Source organism: Homo sapiens, chromosome 10, assembly GCF_000001405.40.
Source record: "Homo sapiens chromosome 10, GRCh38.p14 Primary Assembly".
In the NCBI taxonomy this organism is placed as follows: Eukaryota; Metazoa; Chordata; class Mammalia; order Primates; family Hominidae; genus Homo; species Homo sapiens.
This window is the reverse complement of record NC_000010.11, coordinates 76253766-76277173: the sequence shown is the minus strand read 5'-3', so window position 1 is coordinate 76277173 and position 23408 is coordinate 76253766. Positions and strand designations below refer to the sequence as shown.

The window sequence follows — 23408 nt, the reverse complement described above, 5'->3', positions numbered from 1 at the left end:
TTCTATTTCTATTTCAAATTTCTGGGCTGAAGAGCTGTGAAAAACAGCCCTTAAGGACTGGAAGGTGTGGAGGGAATCCCAGAGTGAGAGAGCTGGAGAAGGGGATACTCTAATTCTGTATATGAAACTACACAAGTTCCCAGCTCATCTCTGAGCTGTGCATTTGGATGTGCGGGACATATCCAAAGCAGATTAGCAAGGGCTCTGAGAACGGAATGAGGATCGTAAACCACCATCCAGGTTTCATACTAACTCTTGAGTGTACAGGCACAGACAGATCAAGAGGAGGATGTCAAAGGCTTTGAAAACTGGACCAAGATTGGAACCCACGAAAGGCAAGACAGAACCCATAGTCTGAAAGAAATGAGGCTAATTCTTCATAAAACAAAAAAGTAAATATTAATATTCTTCACAGAGTTGTAATATATCCAATATTGAAGCAACATAATGTTCAAAATGCCCAGGATACAAGCCAAAAATTACTAAATATACAAATAAGTATTAGTCACATTTGTGTAAAAAAAATAATCCACATATATGGCTCAGATGTTGGAATTAGCAAATAAACACATCAAAGCACCTATTATAGCTGCATAGTCCATGAGATAAAGTTGAGCTTGCTTTAAATTAGTAGAAAAGTAGAAGCTCTCAGGAAAGATACAAAAGCTATAAAAAACTTAGAAATTTTAGATCTGAAAAATGCAGCATGTGAAACAAAAAATTCACTAGAGGCCAGGTGCAGTGGCTCATGTTTGTAATCCTGACACTTTGAGAGGCCAAGGTGGGAGGATCACTTGAGCCCAGGGGCTTGAGACCAGTCTGGACAACAGAGCAAGACCCCATCACTGCAAAAAAGAAAAAAAAAAATTAGCTGGACATAGTGGCACATGCTTGTAGACCCAGCTACTAGGGAGGCCAAGGCAGGAGGATCTTTAAGCCCAAGAGTTCAAGGCTACAGTTAGCCGCGATTGCATCACTGCACTCCAGCCTGGGTGAACAGGAGACCCATTCTCAACAACAACAGCAAAAACAGAAATACAGAACGAAAGAAAGACAGAATGAACAAAAGAATTAACAAAAGAAAGAAAGAAAGAGAGAGAAAGAAAGAGAGAAAGAAAGAGATAGATAGATAGATAGATAGATAGATAGATAGATAGATAGATAGATTCACTAGATTGTCTCAATAACAGAATGAAGATAACGGAGGAGAGATTTAGTGAACTTGAAGATACATAAAAATAAATTATCCAACCTGGAAAACAGGAAAACAATGATAATGAATACAGCCTCAAGGACCTGTGGAACAATATGAAAAGATCTAACATATATGTATATGGTGTTAATATAAAGAGAAGAGGAAGAGGTTGTGAAGGAAAAGTATTTAAAGAAATACTGTGCAAAAACTCACCAAATCTACTGCAAAATTTTTTCATCAAGAACCTCAGCCAACTACAAATAGGATGAAACAAAAAACCAACACACACACAATTTAATGGATTTAAAAAGAAGACCTAAAGAAACAAAGACCAAAGCAATATGGTTCAGAAGTAAAAAGCAATTTGGAAAGATCAAAGAGCAGAGGGGTCACACTAAAAATCAAATTACTGACAGAGCAACAGTTTGACATAATCACAGTGAATGCATATGAAAAATAAAATAAAATAATTAGATAATTTAAGACTCATAGGAAATAAAGACAGTAATATTTGTATGTGTACAATTAATGTGACAGAAAATATATTCAAACATATACTTAAAAAAGTCCCCAAAATGAAGAAAAAAATATAGTTCAAAAGAGTTTAGCAAGTTAAAAAAATGATACAAAGAATGAAGAACAATCAAATAAATCTTAATTAAGTTACTAAAATTCAGGGGAAAAAAATCTCTAGACAACCAGATGGAAGAAAAAAGAATCTCCTACAAGGAAGAAAAGTCAGTCTGACCTCATACTTATCCAGAATCACATTCAATACAAGGAAACAATGAAGAAATATTTCTATATATATGTAAATCATATATAGCCTAAAACTATTATACCCAACTAAAATATCATTCAAATACAACAAGCATGGAACTTAAGAAATTCAGGCCTCATGAGCCCTTTTTGAAAAAGATAGAAGAAAGCCCAGCCAGTTAGGGCTGGAGTAAGAATTCAGGAGTGGAGAGCTATCATCCAAAGAACTTCCACTGAGCTCTGAGTTCACTTAAATATGGAGCCAACACTAAACAACTATGGAAAGCATTGTTATAGAGGAGAATGCAATTGTCATTAACAATATAATGATAACAATGTAACTAACAAAAATTGAGAGGTAGGGGAATGGTAGGGAAAGTTGTGATCTTCATCCTTCAGAGCAGAAAAGCAGTGAGTGATCCTGTGTAAAATTGACATATATGATTTTTGTAAAAACCGCTCCAATATCAAAACACATATACTCTCTTTTTCTACCATTACAGTGATTGTTGATCTAATTTTTATAAAAAGTAGAGATGTTCCATCATTCTTTTTTTGCCCTGATACATAGCAAAGCAGCTCTCACAAGAATAAAATACGTAACCTTTACCTCAGTGGTACTATGTTCTAACTAAACAAAATAACTAACTGACTAGAAAGAACACAGAAACATTTGGGTTTTACCCAAATCAAGTTCTACTTGACTTTTCCAAGACACACACACAGATGCATACAATATCCACTTTTAATGCCTGGCCATGCATTACCAGTCTACAGAAATCATTGTATTCTTATTGACCTGCTCACTTTTTTAAACATCCCAGTTGGTTTTCAAATGAATATGCATAGATTGTGCCCCAGGCCCATTATAGCCAGATGATCCATATCTAATTTGATGGTAAAAACACCATTTTCACAACTCATTTATTTAATTCTTCCAATTTATGTGCAGCAAGTTTAGATGGGATTAACTAAATGGAGGAAATATGGGCAAGTATACTTCTCTTCCTGGTCTATTTTAAGATCTTCATAAGATCTTAAAAGACTTGTTTAATAACTTACTCCAATATTTGGAACTGGTGATCCTGAAACAGTCTAGGATATACTATGAATGACTCAGATACTATTAAGATGGAATGGTTGGGATACCTGGGATACTAAGTGATGATGACAAATACCTTCAAATATCTTCAAATGTTTAGAAATATATATCCTGCTTTGTCTAAAAAAAAGTAAATCCTGCTCTGTCTAAAAAAAGGTAGTATGTAAAAATCCATAAAAGAAAATAAAGATATTTGAAGACAATAAAACCATGACAACAATAGAATTACTTGGATATTTCCTATATGGCAGGTACTCTGGTATGAACTCTACATGGATCATTTGACCTCATCCTGTAATATCCCCATTAGTTAATGCCCTTTTCATTCACCTGATCCAGGGATACTGGATGGGAAACATACTGGAGGACACAGGAGCCTGCCTCCACTCCCCTGCTTCTGGAGAGGGAACTACATGTCACCTCAACCCTATCCCCCATTTCAGAACATTTCTGGGCAGAATTTAGGCACCATTACTTTATGCCCAAATTGTATTTCTTTGGAGATTGCCATCAGGGAACCCTGTCACACATACTGGGTACATAATAGTACAAGTTATATGGAGGTATGGCAAAGTTTAGGAAACTTACACACAAGCAATGAACAGATTAGATATCATACTATTTAAAAATAGTAAAAAAGGCAACGTGATTTTAACAAACTCTGAAAGAAATCGTTGGTGTCTAATGGTTACAATGATTCTTTAGCATCTATAATGTGATATTAGTAAGTATAAAAGTCAGTTAAATATCAGTTTTTAAACTTTAAAGTCATTGGTTGTCAAGGTGTAAATACCCTAAATATTTACACAAAATTCAACAAAAGGAATCCAAGGATGCACCGTTTTTAGATCTAATGGTAAATACTAGCCCAAAACACTACAGCTTTCCATGAAGCCAGATAAAAAGGTTTTGGTCTAGAAGGGATACATGTGGAGATGTTTACATTTGGGAACAGGGATATCATATATACAATATATGTAGCACTGTCATAGAATTCCTCACTAAAAATTTTGCCCTAAGTGAGAGGATGCTCACCCCATGTATAGGTACATATGCAAGCCTACAAGAAAAAAAAATAAGTGGTTAGTCCTTGATATGGTTTGGCTCTGTGTCCCCACCCAAATCGCATCTTGAATTGTAATCCCCACATGTTGAAGGAGGGACCCGGTGGGAGGTGACTGGATCATGGGGGCAGTTTCCTCCATGCTGTTCTCATGATAGTGAGTGAGTTCTCGTAAGAGTTGATGGATTTAAAAGTTTTTGGCAGTTCCCCCTTTGCTCTCTCTCCCTGCCATGTAAGTTGTGTGTCGCTTCTCCTTTGCCTTCCACCGTGATTGTAAGTTTCCTCAGGCCTCCTCAGCCATGTGGAACTGTGAGTCAATTAAACCTCCTTTCTTTATAAATTACCCAGACTCAGGTAGTATCTTTATAGCAGTGTGAGAACAAACTAATACAGGCCTCCAGACCAGCTTTTCCAATGTATATTCTGGGGAATAGGCCTACTCTGACAAAGGGTTCCTTGACTGAGTCTGTTTGGAAAATGCTGAGAAATTATTCTAGAATCTCAAAGCCCTCATGCTAATGTATCTTGTTAATGCCTAAGAGGTAAACCGAATTTAATGCATTTTCCAAACCTTTGTGATGTCAGAAGCCATTCATGGTACGTATAAAAACATCTGACACAACCTGGGTCACTGTTTCTCCTCACAGACCATGGATTCCAGGTTCTATTGAAGAGCTGTAGAACTATCTGGAAACAAAGCAGCTCTTGAATGAGAACTGTGAGAGCAATGCCCCATACAAGTCCCATGTGGCATCAAGTCCATTGAGGAGGATTTAAATTCAGTTTACCAATGTGTCCATATATTAGTAGACAAATTGTAACCCTCTTCCCCCAGGAAGCCAACCTGGCCAAAAATCCAAGGTGAATGGTGGAATGGGGGCATCTCTGTGATTGTCATTCAAGATTCCTGAGACCTTTACCTTTAATGAAGTCAGGTGGGAATAACATATGCTATCCTCCAGGAGAAGTACCATGGAAGACCAACAATCCCTCCCTATTCCTTCATGGATCTCTCACAGTGGGATAGTGGAGAGGGATGTAGCCCATACACATTTTAGCTTTTCTTACTGAGTGACTGCACACATAAATCAGGGCCCCTTCTTTCTCCCTGAACAAAGGTTCACTCTTTCATTCCCCAAGGCTGGACTCCAATTTTGGTATACTTTGAGTCTGCTTCTCTCCCATGGTCACAAGTATATGGAATTAATTCACAAGAAGGCGAGGGGAAGTAATTCAGATTTTTGGAACTACAAATGCAAAGATGCTAAACTATAAGTGAGATGGAGAAAGATAATAAGTCTTGGGGTAAAAGCAGCTTCTTATAATGCCATTTAGATCTTCCTTTAGGTTCTGTAACATCCACATAATCGTGTATATATCCACAGCTATGCAATGTCCAAGCCTGTTTTCTGTCACTGAACCTATATTTCTGGCCAAAATGAGATCATAGTTTGAGCTATAGGAAAACAATAAACAAGATGGATGAGGCTGAAAGAGAAAATGCAGATTTAATTATTTGCCATAGGGAGCATTCCTTTGTTACCAATCAAAGGACTGGAAAGTTGAAAATTTCTGTTTCAATGAAAAAGCATGGATTATTTTTTTTTAGCATGGAAATTTTATAAGGTAGGAATTTTTTTTTTTTCCAAGACAGGGTCTAACTCTGCTGCCCAGGCTGGAGTGCAGTGGCATGATCTTGACTTACTGCAACCTCTACCTCCCAGGCTCAAGTGATCCTCCCACCTCAGCCTCCCAAGTAGCTGGGATTACAGGTGCATGCCACCACACCCAGCTAATTTTTGTACTTTTTGTAGAAATGGAGTTTTGCCATGTGGCTCAGGCTGGCCTCGAACTCCTGAGTTAATGCAGTTCACCCACCTCGGCCTCCCAAAGTACTGGGATTACAGGCGTGAGCCGCCTAGCCAAGGTAGGAATTCTTGATTACATATGGATCTGTAGTAAAACTGTTCAAGAGGTCACTATAGATTTGGCCTGGGTAGCCTAGGGTTTAGCATTTAGGCAAAGGACAGGGGGAAAGAGACAGCTATTCTCTGTGATTATTTCTACTGTGCACTTATCAAATCAATAAAAATAATAATTGTTATTGATGGTGGCCTTACCACTGATTAAACAGGCCAATTTAATTGCTTCTGTGAAGTCACACAGCTCTTAAGTGTATATCATGGCGTCAGTAAAGAGCATGCAATTGCCCCCAGCTTTGTGGACAGGATGTGCACGGCATTGATTTAATTAAAGCTCTTAGATTGCAACCTGCACCCCTTCCTGAGCCCCTCTCGGCTGGAGACTTCCTCTGTTCTTTTTTAATGCTGCCCTGAGCTGGAATAAAGCAAGGTGCCCAGCAAGAAGCATTGGATTGCATCACAGAGAGGATTAAAATGCCCATTATGAGGTAAGACTCGAGTCAAAGCAGAAGGAAAAGAAGACAGGCTGTAAAAGAAAATGGGCTGCAGGCAGTAAAATATTGATTGAAAGAACTGAAAACACCACGGCATCCACACTCCCTGCCCTGCTCTGCACGCCTTGAGGTCTGCCAATCTCCTGACTTCATAATCTACTCTCTCTCTACAGCTAATAATGCTTCAGCCACTCTGGTCTTCCTCCTGGCTTTCCAACACAAGACACTGATTCCTGACTTGGGTCTTTACAGCTGCCTTTCCTCTAGCGAACCCTATGCTCCATACACCAGCTCCCAGCCATCTTCACATTTAGGTCTCAGCTCAAATGCCCAGTCTTCAGGGAAGCCTTTGTTGGCATCCTAGTGAAAATAGCTCCCCTCCCCAACTGGACACTTTCCATTGCGTTGCTCTCATGCATTTTCTTTGAGACACCAATGTTAGAAAGTGCATGGTTTATTTCTTTACGTGTCTATTGTCTGACTACAAGTATTAAAATATTAACTCCACAAGAGTAGGGACTGCGGGTCATCTTCACTGCTGTATTGATACCCAGTGTTCAGAACAGGGTGTGCACAGAATAGATGCTTTGTAAATACTGACGGGGAACAAAAAGGGGAGTGGCTTGAGTGAATGAGAAAAGGTGAGTGGCTTGAGTGAATGAGAAATGTACTAACATTCATCTCAAGATCTCTGCTTCCTGCCTACACCACATGGTGGTATTAGGTGATGTTAAAAACAGGTATCAGACAATACAACATCTAGTCCTAGCCCTGTTGCTTACTAGCTATGTAATCTTGAGGAACTTAACCTCTCTGAACTTATTTCCACCTTTATAAGCAGGTTTACAAAAAGGCTCAATCTCATGGGGCTGTTGGAATTTTAAAATGCATGCAAAGGGCTTAGAATAATTCAGCGAGTAGTAAACGCTTAAGTAGTGTTGCTATTATTGTTGTTACTGCTATTATTAAATGTACCATATATCGTGAAAAGTATCAGGGACCAGGGAACTTTCAAATGGATGCTCTACCTTTTAAAAAATTCCTAATTTAACACAATTTTTTCATTCAAAACATACATACATATAGATATAGTATGTATCTATAGACATCCTCTTCCATCTCAATATATCATGTAGTCAGCAAGTTCAACAACTGGGCAACCCCATCTTCTATATGGACCAGCATATGTGCACTGTCTCTACCTGCACAGTCCAGCCTCCGTTCTGGCACAGTCATGAGTGGCCTTTATAAATAATTTTGGAGAAAGCAAAGTTCCCATTGTTGAAAGCTATGGAAGAGATTCTTAATTCAAACAGTATTAGGTGGTGGATGAGGCAAATTGGAGCATGTAAAATTTATTGGACATCATAAAAGGGAAGCAGGGATAGGGCCAAGGAGATGGGGGGTTCGATTACTGCTGAATTGCTGGCATAATAACCTGCAGCACATCACAGTGTGCCACTGGGGCTGGGAAGCACTCTCCCCAGATGATTGCTTTGTCACCACGGATGCTACTGGCCCATGAACTACGACCCCGGGAGCAGCAAACCCCATCATAAGAAAGGGAGAAATGTAAATTTCAAAATAGATATATAAATATTCGGTGGCCCAGTGTTCCATTAGTCATTTATATTCCTGACTTTGGAATGCAAAAATGTAAATCCAGGGCCCTTCTGCAGTCAGAAGTCACCTAGGGTTCATATAATAATCTCTCTGACAAGGACTAAGCTGTGGCTGGCAATGAAACCTAGGGGGCCAATAAGCTCACTAAACACGCTCAGAGAAAACACAGGAGAGATACACTCTCAGTCTCAAATGGGGGTAGAGAGAGATTGACTGACACGTCAAACCTATCCCACAAAGTCAGAGATTTCCCTGATGCAATGGGGGCGTAAGGACAGAGCTGATTTACTCACTGACAAGCCTACATCCCCGTAAGCAGAATGCTCAGGAGCTCATTCTCAAGGTTCTGAAGGGCATGGCATTTTTTCTGATTTACTGCCATTTTATCGCTGTAAGAAATGGACACAGTGCAGATGCCCACAGTTCTAAATGAAGGTAAGTGATGTCCTTGATGCAGGCTTTCCTAATGTCCTCCTTAAAAAGGAAATCATTAAGAGTTACATCAGATCGAGTTTGATCTAATATAAGAGGGGTGAGAGAAGTGAAAAGAGAGAGGTGTAAATACCATGAAGCCAAAGAAATGGAAATCCCTCCAGTACAGCCCCATGGAGGGCAAGTGCAGAAGCACACACTAGCCCTGTCATTCCTGAATGTGGGAGAGAAGCAGGACATCCAGGAATGAGCAACAGGAGGAGATGATCTACTTCAACCTGCTTAAGACAGAGAGGAAACTAAGGCACAGAGGACTATGTGTCAAGATCACACAGCTGATTAGAAGCAGTTTTAGCCCAGACTTGAACCTACTAATTGACTCCCAGGGTTAGGGTTTGGGTTAGGGTTAACCTTGGCCTTCACACCAGGTTATATTTGTTACAATTCCTCTCCTCTTCATTTCTGTTCCATAGGGAATCTGGCACTCTAGTATGTTCTGACACACAGCCCACCCCTCAAGTTTGAGAATTAGAGAAGTTATTGACAGCCTATATGTGGCTGAGGTAGAAGATACATTTTAGGAGGTATACAGAACAAATATATGTAAATCATTTTAATAGCAATATGTAATATTACGTCAACCTATGGACTTCATGAACATTAATTAGGACAAAATAAGATAAATATTTAAGACATTTAAAAGTGAACTGATTTCAAGAAAAACACCGAATAAATAATAATACAAGGGTCAATAGATTGGGTACCATTCTAGAAATATCCTCAACATGTTTTCCAAGTTGGTTGTGTCAAATGAGACATTTCACACAAAACTGGTGATTTTACTCACAAGATTGACAGCTATAGATGGAATCCACATCTTCATTCCAGAATATTATGTTTACAATGGAATATTATTCAGCCATCAAAAGGAATGTATTTCTGAAATAGGCTTCCACATAGATAAATCTTGTTTTCAAGGTTTATGTCTATAAGCTAGGCATAAAAGGACAGATATTGCATGATTCCACTTACATGAAGCAGACAGGCAAATTCATAGAGGCAGAAATAGAATAGAGGTTACCAGGGCTGGAAAGTGGAGAAATAGGGAGTTATTGCTTAATAATTATAGAGTTTCTACTGGAGTGATAAAAAAGGGTTTGGAAATAAATAGTTGTGATGGTCGCACAACACTTTGAATATCATTAATGCCACTGAATTTTATGCTTACAAGTTTAAATGGTAAATTTTTTATATATATTTTTACCACAATTTTAAAAGTTGTAGTGTAATATGTCAAAAATTGTTGAATTATATAATTTGAATGGGCAAACAATATAGTATGTGAATTATACCTCAAAATAGCTGTTTAAAAAAAACAAAAAAAAATTATGTGCATAAAGTTAAGGATATTCTTGCTGAGAAAGGAAGCTGCATATGGTGACCTGTGGAAATTCATCTCAACTGTGGGAATGCCATTCTTTATCATGGCATCTGGTCTATCATGCCCCAAAGAGTCCCTATAGAAGGAGGCATGACTATCTTGGGTCTATCTAAGGGAGGTTAGTTACAATTTGAATTTATCAGCACTCTTGATAATGTGTCCCTCCTGTATCATTTTCCCATAAGATCTACCTGGGAAACTCTAGCCTATATTAATTGGATCATCACCCAGAGATTGAATGTTCTCCGGAATCAAAACAAACTCATCTCCTGTTACAAGTCTAGTTTTTAAATTCTAACTTGTGAAATTTTGAAATTAAGTTTCAAATTGTCATCCATTCAATGTATGTAAATATACTAGGGCATTTCTCAAAACTCATCAAAAATGCCACTTTGTAATAAATATAAAATTAGTAATAATCTAATTAACTCAAGGTCTAATATACTGAGTTATAAATAAAGATGCAGGATAGCCTAGTGTCATAGACATGGAATTTAGTAGACAGACCTAAGCTGAAGCCCCAGCTGTTCTACCTCCTCGCTTTTCTTACTTCTCTGTACTTAGTTTCCTATTGTGAAAAATGGAGATAATGACTCTTTCCTCAAACAGGTATTGCAAGAACTAAATTAGGTAATATGATGAAGAGCACAATATTACGGCATATAGCAAATATTCTATAAACAGTAGTTAAATATGTATTCATAAACACAAAAAAGCAACACAGGATCTAGAGAAAGAAGAGTTGATAAATAAGAAATTGTCAGCCTTCCTCTAGCAGCTAACAGGTAATCCTGTCCTTGCAAAGGAGTATTCTATGGAGAAGCAGGTGTAAGTCTCCAGATTCTAACATTATAGGATGAAATGGCCTAGGAACATATCCAATTACCTTTATTACAAAAAAAGATGATTATTATTATACTACTAATACTAGTGTGAATATTTATTGTGTACTTATTATATGCCAAGCATTTTCATACACACTTTTTTATTATCCCGGTTAATCCTCCCAACAACTCTATGAGGTAAGTACTCTTAGTATCTCATTTTCTAGATCAGTTAATCAAGGCTTAAAGAGGGTAAGTAACTGGTCTGAGATCATGTAGGGATTAAGGGTGATGGCCAGGATTCCAAACACAGGCTATTTGACTTGTAACCTTAACAGCTATGCAATCATCCATTCTCACTTAGAAATCTTGCAGATGATTAATTTACTTTGCCAGTTAGTCTAATACCAGGAAGGGAGGTCCCTAGAATGCAAATGTGAACAGTCTGGTGGTTTCCTGAATACTATCCCTCACCCAAATGGAAATAACATGTTAGTCTTTTGGTTTGTAAATTAGTTTCTTAGACATGAACTAATAAGGTCATTTCTAACACATGGATGACTAGTAATAACATCAAACCAACACACATGGAAAGCTGAAGATCTGACTCTTCCCCAACAATAACCAATGTACAGTCACCTTGGAACTCAGCCCATAAGGGCCTGATGGGTCTTCTGTGACCATTCCCCCAGCACTCTCTTAAGTATAAACACTGGGCTCCATACCAAGCCTCGCCTGTGCTTGTTATAGACATCCAAAACTTCCTGACCATGTGGAAAGTGAGGAGCACTTCCCGAGAATGATCCCACTGTTGGAGAAGGGCACAGGTCCCTGTGTCCTCCCAGGACAGAGAAGGCAGAATTCGGCTGCGCTGAGTGTGAGCACCTGAAAAGAAGCAGCTCTATTAACCAGGGCTCAACCACTGAGCCCAGTATTGATTGTGAAGTGCCTAGTTGCTTATGCTTGAGAGATGACACTCAACTTTCAGCCTGGGTGGAAGAGCAATAATAAAAACATTGCCCTCAAAGAAAGAACTCCAAACCGTTATTCAACCCTTCTTTTGGAAATGCAAGGCTTTTCCTTAGAAACATGAATAAGGTACAGAGAACAGCTAAAGGAGGAGGAAAGACATAAACGGACCGGATCAACAATTTCCTGCTTCTGCCTCCTGCTGTTCACGCACTCAGTCACAGAGAGTGCCCCTGTGCAGGCCCCAGAGGCCATGGGGATCAAATATAAGTTTCGAAAGTTGAAGAGGGAGAATCCATTTCAAATAACTTAGAGGATAACTGTCACTGGAATTAATATGGTTGGAATGTTTAAAATTGCCACAGGTTCCTTCACTTTTGAAAGGTGTCAGGCCCCTGTCTTGAACGCTGAATGTCTGTCTGTGATACCTCAGTGAAAGGTTGCACTATCACAGACAGTTTCAGGCTAAGGAAAGCTTATTTAATTTACTGAACTGCACATAGAAATTGGCAAAGATGAGTCCAAAAGGTTAAGCATGGGGCATGATTCTTATCTCTCTCCATTTCCCATAGTACTATAATGTCCCATTAAATTTTCCTTTCACAAAGGTGCCTGAAAATATGTTTTACATTTCTCCATGCGTACCTTTCTGTTTAGTACTCAGGACTCCTCTCCCAAAGAATTAAAACAGACGAGAGATGAGAAATAGAAATCTGCACCTCTCCTATGGGATAAAGCTGGAATTTAAGAGAGCAAAATCTGTAGTGCTGAATTGGGCAAACAGCATGAGAAGCAGCCAAGCTGACCGAAATACTCGCAGTGGACATGCCTTCAACTAAAATGACCATGCCACTTGCAAATGGAAAACACATTATTTCAATCTGCTTCCGTGTTTTTTTTTTTTTTTTTTTTTTTTTTTTTTTTTTTTTTTTTTTTTTTTTTTGAGACAGAGTCTTGCTCTGTTACCCAGGCTGGAGTGTAGTGGTACAATCTCAGCTCACTGCAACCTCTGCCTCCTGGGTTCAAGAAATTCTCATGCCTCAGCCTCCCAAGTAGCTGGGACTACAGACTACAGGCATGTACCACCATGCCTGACTAATTTTTTGCATTTTTGGTAGAGACAGTGTTTTGCTATGTTGGCCAGGCTGGTCTTGAACTCCTGGCCTCAAGTGATCTGCCGGTCTCGGCCTCCCAAAGTGTTGGGATTACAGGTGTGAGCCATCATGGCTGGCCTCAACCTGCTTCCTTTCAACATTAAAGGTAAATGAACAAATTACTGCTAAAAGGGGGAATAAAAAGTAAATGAACTCAGATTCTCAGGTTTCCCTTAGAGTGAATGGAACCCTTCCAAATGGCAGTAGTTCCAAAGTTCAGCTCTTGCAAGATTACCTACGAATGAGTTATGATGACAGCAAATCCATCATTATTATGAAGGCAGAGTTTTAGATGGTTGAATAGAGCTTTCCATTCTTGTTTAACCTGTAGCAGAAGACATCAGAGTTGACAGAGGTTTTGCCACTGTAACATAGGAGGGCCTCTGGGTTACACTTTTATCCCTCTCAGGGTCACCTATCACCAAAATCAATTTATTTCTTTGTTTCAATATTTATGCATGTTCAACATTTTACCCCTACATATTATTCTTGCTCCTACACAGTATTCTTCCACTTGAGCCTATGAGTGCTTTCTACATAGCAAGCACTATGCAAGACGGTAGGGATCCAAGAATGAACAAGCTCCCATCCCTGCCTGGGCTTACAGTCCAAGGGGACAAAACTTCGTAACTATGTGAGATGAGTTATGTAGAAGCTTGAGTAATGTGCTATGGAGAAATATCTTATTGAGTCTAAAAGGCAAAAAAGATAAAGTAACCATCATGCAAACCTGGAAACAATGCCTCAGTAGAATCATCACCAAATTAAAATAGCACATCAACTCCATTTTTCAAACTGGAGAGTTTTTTTCTATTTTGATTTTTCTTTGAATTTCATATTGCTGTAAACTGATAAAAAGTTTTTGCAAAAGCATAAGAAAGAGAGAGAATGAGATAAACAGATGATCTTTTTTTAAAAAAAAAAGTTTGTTAGAAGTTCCTTTTGTGGTCCCAGATTATAATAAAGCATATTGAAACACTTCATCAGAAACAAGTTTGCCTTGGAATCAACTCCCTAGAGATGAAAAGGTGACCCAAGAGGTACCTTCCAAAGTAAAGATCAATCATTTAATGTTTGGAATGTATCCTTCTAAAAATAGCATTTGAATTTTTTTTCAATTTGAAAATGAGATTATAAACAACTATAAAGAAGACTTTCCCCAAAATGCTAATGTTAACAACATTGCAAAGTTCTATGAAAATGATTCTATTTCATTATGAGAAAAATTATGCTAGGGCACATAACATATATATTCTGTAAAGAAAATGGTTAGCAAGGGCTTAAGAAAGGGCAAATGGCTGGTAACAATCAGACACAGCAGCAGTCAGGCACAGGCCAGAGCCAGCTGTGGAAACAGAGTGTCACAAGTCACCCTGGCCAGCATGACTTACCCTGGTAAGCTTGCTGGAAAGCATGAATTTGTCAAGAGGGTTTGCTTTGGGGAAAAAAACAGGGGCCAGCAGAACCTCAAAACTAAAGGCCATGGATTTGGAAGCTTGGGAAAGAATCTGTACAGGAGAAGTTAGTGCCCATTCCCCAAACCTAGGGCTAAATAAGTTGCAGAGGAAAGATGTTGAATAACCCAGGACCAATCAGAGAAGATGTAGGTGCCGAACACATATATGCCAGAGAGTTATTTGAGATCAGTTACCCTAATCTTTCACTTGACAGAAGATGAAGCTGAGACCCAGAAATGGGAAAAGACTCATAAACTTCACACGGTGCCGGAGCCAGAACCTAAACCTGAATGCCAAGTGACTATACTTTCCATCACCCCACTTTGTTCTTTTCACGGAGAATCATTCAGAAAATAAAGCATGTTGATGAGAAGCGCGTACATGAGTGGAGCAGGCTGGGAGTATGAGGCTAGCATGAGTGAACACTGGTGGTAAAGATTTCAATCACTGAGAACCCCGGTGATTCCTGATTTTAGGTTATATGCATTTGAAGGCTTTTGGTTTACTTTAAGAAATGGAGTCTCACGTTGTTGTCCAGGCTGAAGTACAGTGGCATGCACATAGCTTGAACTCCTAGGCTCAAGTGATCCTCCCACCTCCACCTCCTGGGTAGCTGGGACTACCAGTGTATACCACCACATCTGATTAATTTATTATTATTATTTTTTTTTAGAGATGGGGTCTTGTTTTGTTGCCCAGGGTGGCCTTGAATTCCTAACCTCAAGAGATCCTCCCACCTCAGCCATTCAAGTAGCTGGGATTACATGAGGCTCGTTTTCTAATTTTATTGCCAACAATTTTCTTCCCCACTAATATTTTTCCTTCTCCAACAACTCCATAAACTTATCAAGATTGCTCAAATGTCATTCTAAATTTGTTTTTTAGTCATAATCCACCTATTGTGCACATGTGGCACATCAATGAGTTTATATGACGGGTTCATCCTGCAGAAATGTTATCTACCTTTGTAAGTATGTATATAAAAATGTTTGCACATGTGACTTTCAAAAAATATGTAAAGCAAATATTTAAAGTTCAACTTGCAGACCCATTATTGAAGGCATGTGTGTTGCTTTTCAAGGCTTATGAGAAGTGAGTTTAAATAACAATAAACCTAAGTAGGAAAGCCTAAATCTAGTTATCTCCTTGATACTATGACCTAAGCACAAGAGGGTAGTCAAAGGCTCTTATTTTTGCATGCCCAGCATTAATTCACTGTTCATTTTGTAACAACTAGGGTGTCATTTTTTTTTTAGAACCAGTGCCTTCCACCTTTCATTTCATATGATTCTGATGGACATGAGCCCAGTTCCTGGTACGAGGTGTGGGTCTGACCCAGGTGATTAGCTTAGATTGAAACGCAAGCCAGCCGGGCGCAGTAGCTCACGCCTGTAATCCCAGCACTTTGGGAGGCCGAGGCAGGCAGATCACGAGGTCAGGAGATGGAGACCATTCTGGCTAATATGGTGAAACCCCGTCTCTACTAAAAAATACAGAAAAAAAAAAATTATCCGGGCGTGGTGGCAGGCGCCTGTAGTCCCAGCTACTTGGGAGGCTGAGGCAGGAGAATGGCGTGAACCCAGGAGGTGGAGTTTGCAGTTAGCTGAGATCGCACCACTGCATTCCAGCCTGGGCAACAGAGCGAGACTCCGTCTCAAAAAAAAAAAAAAAAAAGAAAAGAAAAGAAACGCAAGTCAATCCAGCCAATAAAAGTCAGTCTTGAAATTTTGTCTTGAACTATTGGAACAAGCTCTCTTTCCAGTAGGGTTGCTAAGCTGGCAAGAAGTAATCCATTTGCTGATATTGGCCATCTTATCAAAATTTATTTCTTAAAAATGCTCACTTCAGTGGTACCTATACTCAAATTATAATGATACAGAGAAGATTAGCATGGCCCCTGCACAAGGATGGCATATGAATTTGTGTAGTTCATATATTTCAGAGAAGGAAAAGGGTGCAGAAAACATAGTTAATAAAGTAATAGCTGAAAACTTTCCAAGTCTTGGAAGAAAGATAGACATCCAGATCCAGGAAGATCAAGGAACTCCAAATAGAGTCACCCCAAACAGGTTCTCTTGGAGGCACATTATACTCAAATTGTCAAAAGTCAAAGTCAAAGATTGAATCCTAAAAACAGCAAGAGAAAAGCATCAAGTCACATATAAGGGAACTCTCATTACATTAATAATGGGTTTCTCCGCAGAAACCTTATAGGCCAAGAGAGAATGGGATGACATATTCAAAGTACTAAAAGAAAAAAAAATGTCAGCCAAGAATATTATACCTAGCAAAGCTATCCTTTAGAAATTAAGAAGAAATAAAATCTTTTTCAGACAAGCTAAAACTAAGTGGATTCATCACCACTAGATTGGCCTTACAAGAAATGCTCAAGGAAGCCTTACATCTGGAAAATCTTCATCATCATCATGAAAACATGCAAAAAATGGCTATAAAACTCACTGGTAGGGACAATACACAAGGAAGAAAGAGAAAAGAAGCAAGGCAATACACAAAAGAAGAAGAGAAACCTATCACTACAGGGAACATCTAAGTCCAAAATTAAATAATAAGAGAGGAAGTAAAGAACAAAATATACCAAACAACCAGGAAACAACGAATAAAATGACAAGAGTAAGTCCTCACCTATCAGTAATAACCTTGTATGTAAATGGATTAAATTCTCCAATTAAAAAACATAGACAGGATGAATGGGTTTAAAAAAAAAAGATCCAATTATATGCTGTTGACAAGAAACTCACCTCACATGTAAAGACATATGTAGACTTGAACTGAAGGGATGGAAAAAGATATCCCACACAAAGAGAAACCAAAAGCAAGCATAAGTAGCTACACTTATATCAGACAAAACAGACTTCAGGTAAAAAGTTCTAAAAAGAGATAAAGAAGGATATTATATGATAACAAAGGGATCAATTAAGCAAGAGAATATAAGAACTGTAAATATATATGCACCCAACACCAGAACACTGATATATACATATATATATATGTAACAAATATTATTAGATCTAAAGGGAGAGATAGACCCCAATACAATAGTAGTTGGGGACTTCAACACCTTACTCTCAGCATTGGACAGATCATCTAGAAAGAAAATCAACAAAGAAATGCTGGAATTAAACTGCACCAGAGACCAAATGGACTTAACAGACATGTAGGTAACATTTCAGCCAACAGCTACAGAATACACATTATTATCAGCAGATGCAACATTCTCCAGGATAGACCATATGTTACACCACAAAACAAGTCTCAACAAATTTTGATAAGTCAAAATTATATCAAGCATCTTCTCAGATGACAATAGAATAAAACTAGAAGTCAATAACAAAAGGAATGCTGGAAACTGTATGAATATATGGAAATTAAACAACATACTCCTGAACAACCAATGAGTGAAGGAAAAAATTAAGAATGAAAATAGGCAAATGATCTAAACAGACATTGCTCAAAAGAAGACATACGAATGGCCAAGAAATATATTTTCAAATACCCAACATCACTAATCATCAAGGAAACGTAAATCAAAACACCAATGAGATAGCATCTCACCCCATTTAGAATGGCCATTATCAAAAAGATAAAAAATAACAAATGTTGGTGAGGATAGAGAAAAAAAGGAACTCTTTACACTGTTGGTGGGAATGTAAATTTGTACAGCCACTATGGAGAACAGTATCGAGGTTCCTTAAAAACTACAAATAAAACTGCCATATGATCCAGAAATCCTTCTACTAAGAATGTATATAAAGGAAAGGAAATCATCATATCAAAAAGACATCTGCACTCCCATATTTATTGCAGCACTATTCACAATAGCCAAGATATGGACTCAGCCTAGGTATCCAACAACGGAATAGTAGATAAAGAAAATGTGATATATATACACACAATGGAATATCACTCAGCCATAAAAATAAATTAAATCCTGTCATTCACGGCAACATGGATAAAACTGGAGGATATTATGTTAAGCGAAATAAGTCAGGAACAGAACTAACTAAACACCACATGTTCTCACTCATATTGTGGAAGCTAAAAAAAGATGATCTCATAGAAATGAAAAGTGGAAGAGATGATACAAGAGGCTGGGAAGGGTAAAGCAAAGAGAGGGTTAGGGAGATTTGTTAAAGGATGAAAAATTACAGCCAGATAAGAGGAATAATTTCTCATGTTAAAAAAACATTGTAGGATGATTACAGTTAACAATAATATATTATATCATTCCCAGTAGCTAGAAGAAGGATATTGAATGTTCCCAACATAAAGAAATGAAAAATGTTTGCGATGAGGGATATGCTAATTACACTGATCAGATCATGCAATACATTATATGTATTGAAACATCACTAGGTATCCCATAAATATGTACAAGTATTATATGCCAAGTAAAAAAAATACATTTAATTTAAAAAGGCTACATGAACTACATAAAAAAGTAGAACTGAGACGAAGTATGAAGATGGAAATTACTGCCAATGTTACTTGAATACCTGGAGATAACACAACCCTTATGGGTAGGTGGTAGATTATTCACAAAAAAGGCTGCAAAAATTTCTTTTACCTCTATACATACTTCCCTGGGCAATGTAACCTTACTGCTTTACCATCAAGAGGTAGAGTCTGGTTCTCCACCCCTCGTATGTGGACTTGGCCATGTAACAAGTTTTGTCCAATGAGTCATTAACAAATGTTATACAAGGAAATGCCTAAAAGGTACTTGAGCATGGAGTTTTCCTTCTCCTGTTAAGGGAACCTTTCTCCCACCAGGTAACATGCCCAGGCTAGCTTTCTGGAAGAAGAGAGATCACATGGAAAGCTATTCCAGCCATCTCAACTGAGCCCCAGACATGTGAGGCCATTTGTGACCATCCAGCCCCAACCAAGTCAGTCCAGATAAGAAGCACCCAGCCAACCCACAGGACTGTGACCTTATATATAACTCTTATTTTAAGCCATTAAATTTCGAGGTGGTTTGTTGCAAGATAAAAGGAAATTGATAAAGTATTAAATTACATATTTTTTCAGCAATTTGAATTGTTTTATCATCTGTAACCAAAATAAAAATAAAAATACCCAGTGCTGGCCAGGTGCCGTGGCTCACACCTGTAATCCCAGCACTTTGGGAGGCTGAGGTAGGTGGATCACCTGAGGTCAGGAGTTCGAGACCAGCCTGGCCAACATGGTGAAACTCCGTCTCTACTAAAAATACAAAAATTAGCCAGGTGTGGTGGTGGGTGCCTGTAATCCCAGCTACTCAGGAGGCTGAGGCAGGAGAATTGCTTAAACCTGGGAGCCAGAGGTTGCAGTGAGCTGAGATCATGCCATTGCACTCCAGCCTGGGCAACAAGAGTGAGACTTTGTCTCAAAAAAAAAAAAAAGAAAAAGAAAATACCCAGTGCCATAGCTAGCATATTTGATACCCAGAGCAGATAATTATTAATACCCCTTCCTCCATAAAACAAAATTCTTTTCAGTTATAAGCACGTAATTAGTAATTATTATTTTTTTAATTTGCTTTTGTTTTGAAATAATTAACAATTAAAAAGAAAATTAAATTTTTAATGTAAAGCTATTATTCAAATATATTAGAGATCTTCATGCATAAACTTAAATTTGCACTTACCAAAGACAAAATAGTACACTTCATGGTTTGTATTTTATTTTATTGTTTTAAATATTAAAAACAAGTAAATGCTCCAAGTAGTCTCATTGAATGACAGAACTAACTCAAGACCTGTTTCTTTATCTCTCAATCATTTTTCTACGACTGCCTAGTTCAAATATATTGTTCAAATGCAGAAATATATGCTACCAAGGTTTTAGAGACACTGACTGTGATGTGATCTCTAATATTCCAAACCACTGTGAATTTACAGCTAAGTTCATGTATGCTAAGGCTTCCTGGAGAGCTAGGAGTTCCCCAGAGTAACTCCATATAGAATACGATGTGTCTTAAAAGATAAACTTTTAAGTGTGTTAAAATGTAATAAATATTAACAATAATAGTCATTATTTTAAAATACAACAGAACTCCTGGCAATTACTTAGAACTTAGATTGACAGCTTTTTTCCAGAGATGAGTATTTTTATCACTTTAATTGCCTGAATTGCCAGTTCATGGTGATAACAGAATATACACAAAATTTTAGTTGGTTTTATTATTGTTTTAAAACTTTCTACAAACAATGCATCCCCTCATTGTCTGTACCTGGAGCAGACCACTGTCTTCCCCCCTGCCCTTGATATGCCACTGTGAATAACGCTGGAAATAAGCTTCATTCATGTTGAGAATTACATTCTCCAAAGGACTCCGACTGAAGCACAACAGAGTGTTTAATGAATATGTTTGCATGTGGGAGAAAATTCCCAGCAAGATAATTTCAATATTGACCTAAAATTTCCAAGTTTCCTAGAAAGAGAAATGAAGACCATTGATGGCTCTAAGTATTTCAGCACAGTGACCAGTAGAACTAACTTAACATTGGAGGAAAAAGTGCTTAAATAGTCTTCACTGTGATACTCTATTGCAATTTACTGTAAAATCCTTCTAATTCCAGAAAATTATTATGGTTCTCTGGACCAAGACAAGCCAACAAACAATAACCTATTTCCAATTAATCATACACTCCTTTAAGGTGAGTTCCCTCTTTCAGGATTCAGGAAAAGCCTCAGATTTTCTTGAGAGAGCTAAAGATATTACACAATGAGCCATAGAATTAGAAGAATGAAACTGGTCACATGATGCCATTGATCTATATAAACCTATTTCCATTGAATGTCCATTTGACTTGACTACATATGTTATTCATCTGCTTTATAGCTGGTCAGTTGTATCTTAGTAAATTAAATCCCCTTCAGACTGAAACATATTTTATTCTCTCTAATATGTGCCTTTCTGCTACATTTTATTCCATTTGGTATACTTCCTAATCAATTCTTTTGTGAGCTTCATTTCATTCAGCACAATGTATCCATTGTTAGGATTTATTTCTTTCGGAATGATTTAAATCTATTTTGCTCCATGCTGCTTTAAAGCTACTGTATGCACTATCAATTCCCATCCACTGGGCCATGTGGTCTGGTTCATACTCCATCTTCTTGGTTGAGGAAAGATATACTTTCCTAGCTTGGTCTGATGTGAAATGACAGTTGCTTTTTATCTATCCTGGCAATGGCTGTGGACTGAATAATAAGAATGATATGTAGCCATGTGTAGGAATGTCAGTGTATTTCAGGCATCCAAGGTTGAGATGGGTAACAGTGGGCTCCTAAAATCCTTATTATGAAGTCATCCTTCAGAATCTATGCTTCTAAAATTCTAGGTATCATTTCCAACAGAGGAAATGCAACACACAATCATCAAGCACTCTCATAAATCCTTGCTGACTTAAGGACAGCGGAAGATTGCCTTCTTTGGTAGTATTAATTGTGAGTCACTTTTAATTTTGGTTGGCCCAAACTTTATGTTCTTTCTTAGCCTTCAAAAGTTCATTTTGCACCATAAAATTATTTTATTCTTCATAGAGAAAAAAACAAAAGGCAATGAAAGACTTGATTTTAATGACCTTTTTGGTGACTCACTTTCTAATTAAGAAAACTAGAAAAGGTCTGGGGGGAAAGCCCAAAGAGGTGAACGAATAAAAGAACAAATCATGTTGCTGGCTATGAGCAGATCAGTTGATTTGAAAGGCTGAGTGAAAATAGGGAAAGTCTGGAAGGTTAGGCCAAAAAAGTACATTGAGTTCAAGGTTAAGTGGACCTCAGAAGCCAGGCTAAGGGTTTGTGGCTGTAACCCAAATGCGAGGAGGAGGCCCTAAAGGTTTTTCAACATGGAGTTGACATGATAAAGGCACATTGTTCCTATAAAACCGGTCGTAACTTCTAAAATAAAATGAACTTGAACTAAACTCACGGTGGTGGGTAATCATGCCCAGAATGTGACAGTGGAAGAGAACACCTTGCTGAAAAGAAAGGTATTTCCAATAGAGAGAGAGGAGAGGAGAAGAGGTGAAGAGGGAAAATCCTTTTTGGAAACCAGGAAAATCAGGCAGAAGTGCATTTAGTGAACATATTCAAAAAGTAGCAACATAATATACATTATATAGCAGAACAAATGCCAACATGATCAAACTTAAAAAATAAAAAGATTGGTGGTATGGAAGATATGAGACCCCTAGGAGAAAGTGACCGTGCCTAATTGGAGATAACTTTGCATATTTTGGAACACAAATATATGAATACTCTTGATTGGATTTGCTTTATTTTTAAGAGACTATAGCATTTCAGTATAGTATAGTATAGCATAGCATAGCATAGCATAGCATAGCATAGCATAGCATAGCATAGCATAGCATAGGATAGGATAGGATAGGATGGTATGGTATGGTATGGTATGGTATGGTATGGTATGGTATAGTATAGTATAGTATAGTAATTTCCACAGATATTGATCCTAATAGGACATGAAATTCAAGAAGGAAGGATGCTACTAAAAGTGAAATTCTGAGTATATAATTATGAATATTGACAACAAGGAAGGAAGGTTGGGGAAGCTTGAGGATAGGGAAGCAGTGAAAGAAACCAAACTAGTATAACTGTATGGGGCATATTCTAGTGAATTCAGATTTTAAGAAGTCACTTATGAAAACCATGCTCAAAGGAAGAAAATAAGTCTACTGTTGGAAAATGGTTGTTAAAAAAAGAAATCCCAAATGACAGAGGAAAGGCAGAATGATTAAAACTAAGCTCTTGTTTTGTCATTATTTTCTCCATCATGAAATTATATCCTTGGGCTAGACTGATGAGTGAAAAGTAAAAAAGAAAAAAGAAATGGAAGAATGAGGCCCTAGAGAGCTTATGAGACATAGGAGATGCCTGGTGTCTAGACCTATACAAATAGTATCTTATTTTACAATAGCAACAACAAAAAAATTCTTATAGATCTGCTCA

At 37.9% G+C, this 23408-nt stretch overlaps 1 protein-coding gene and 1 pseudogene across 3 annotated transcripts in view; one reads left to right on the top strand and one right to left on the bottom strand.

Moving 5' to 3' along the window:
- The window catches only part of LRMDA (leucine rich melanocyte differentiation associated), a 1128545-nt gene that overhangs the window by 282995 nt on the left and 822142 nt on the right, over positions 1–23408 (bottom strand). The gene's annotated exons all lie outside the window — the stretch shown is intronic.
- On the top strand, positions 16272–16373 carry RNU6-673P (RNA, U6 small nuclear 673, pseudogene; annotated as a pseudogene).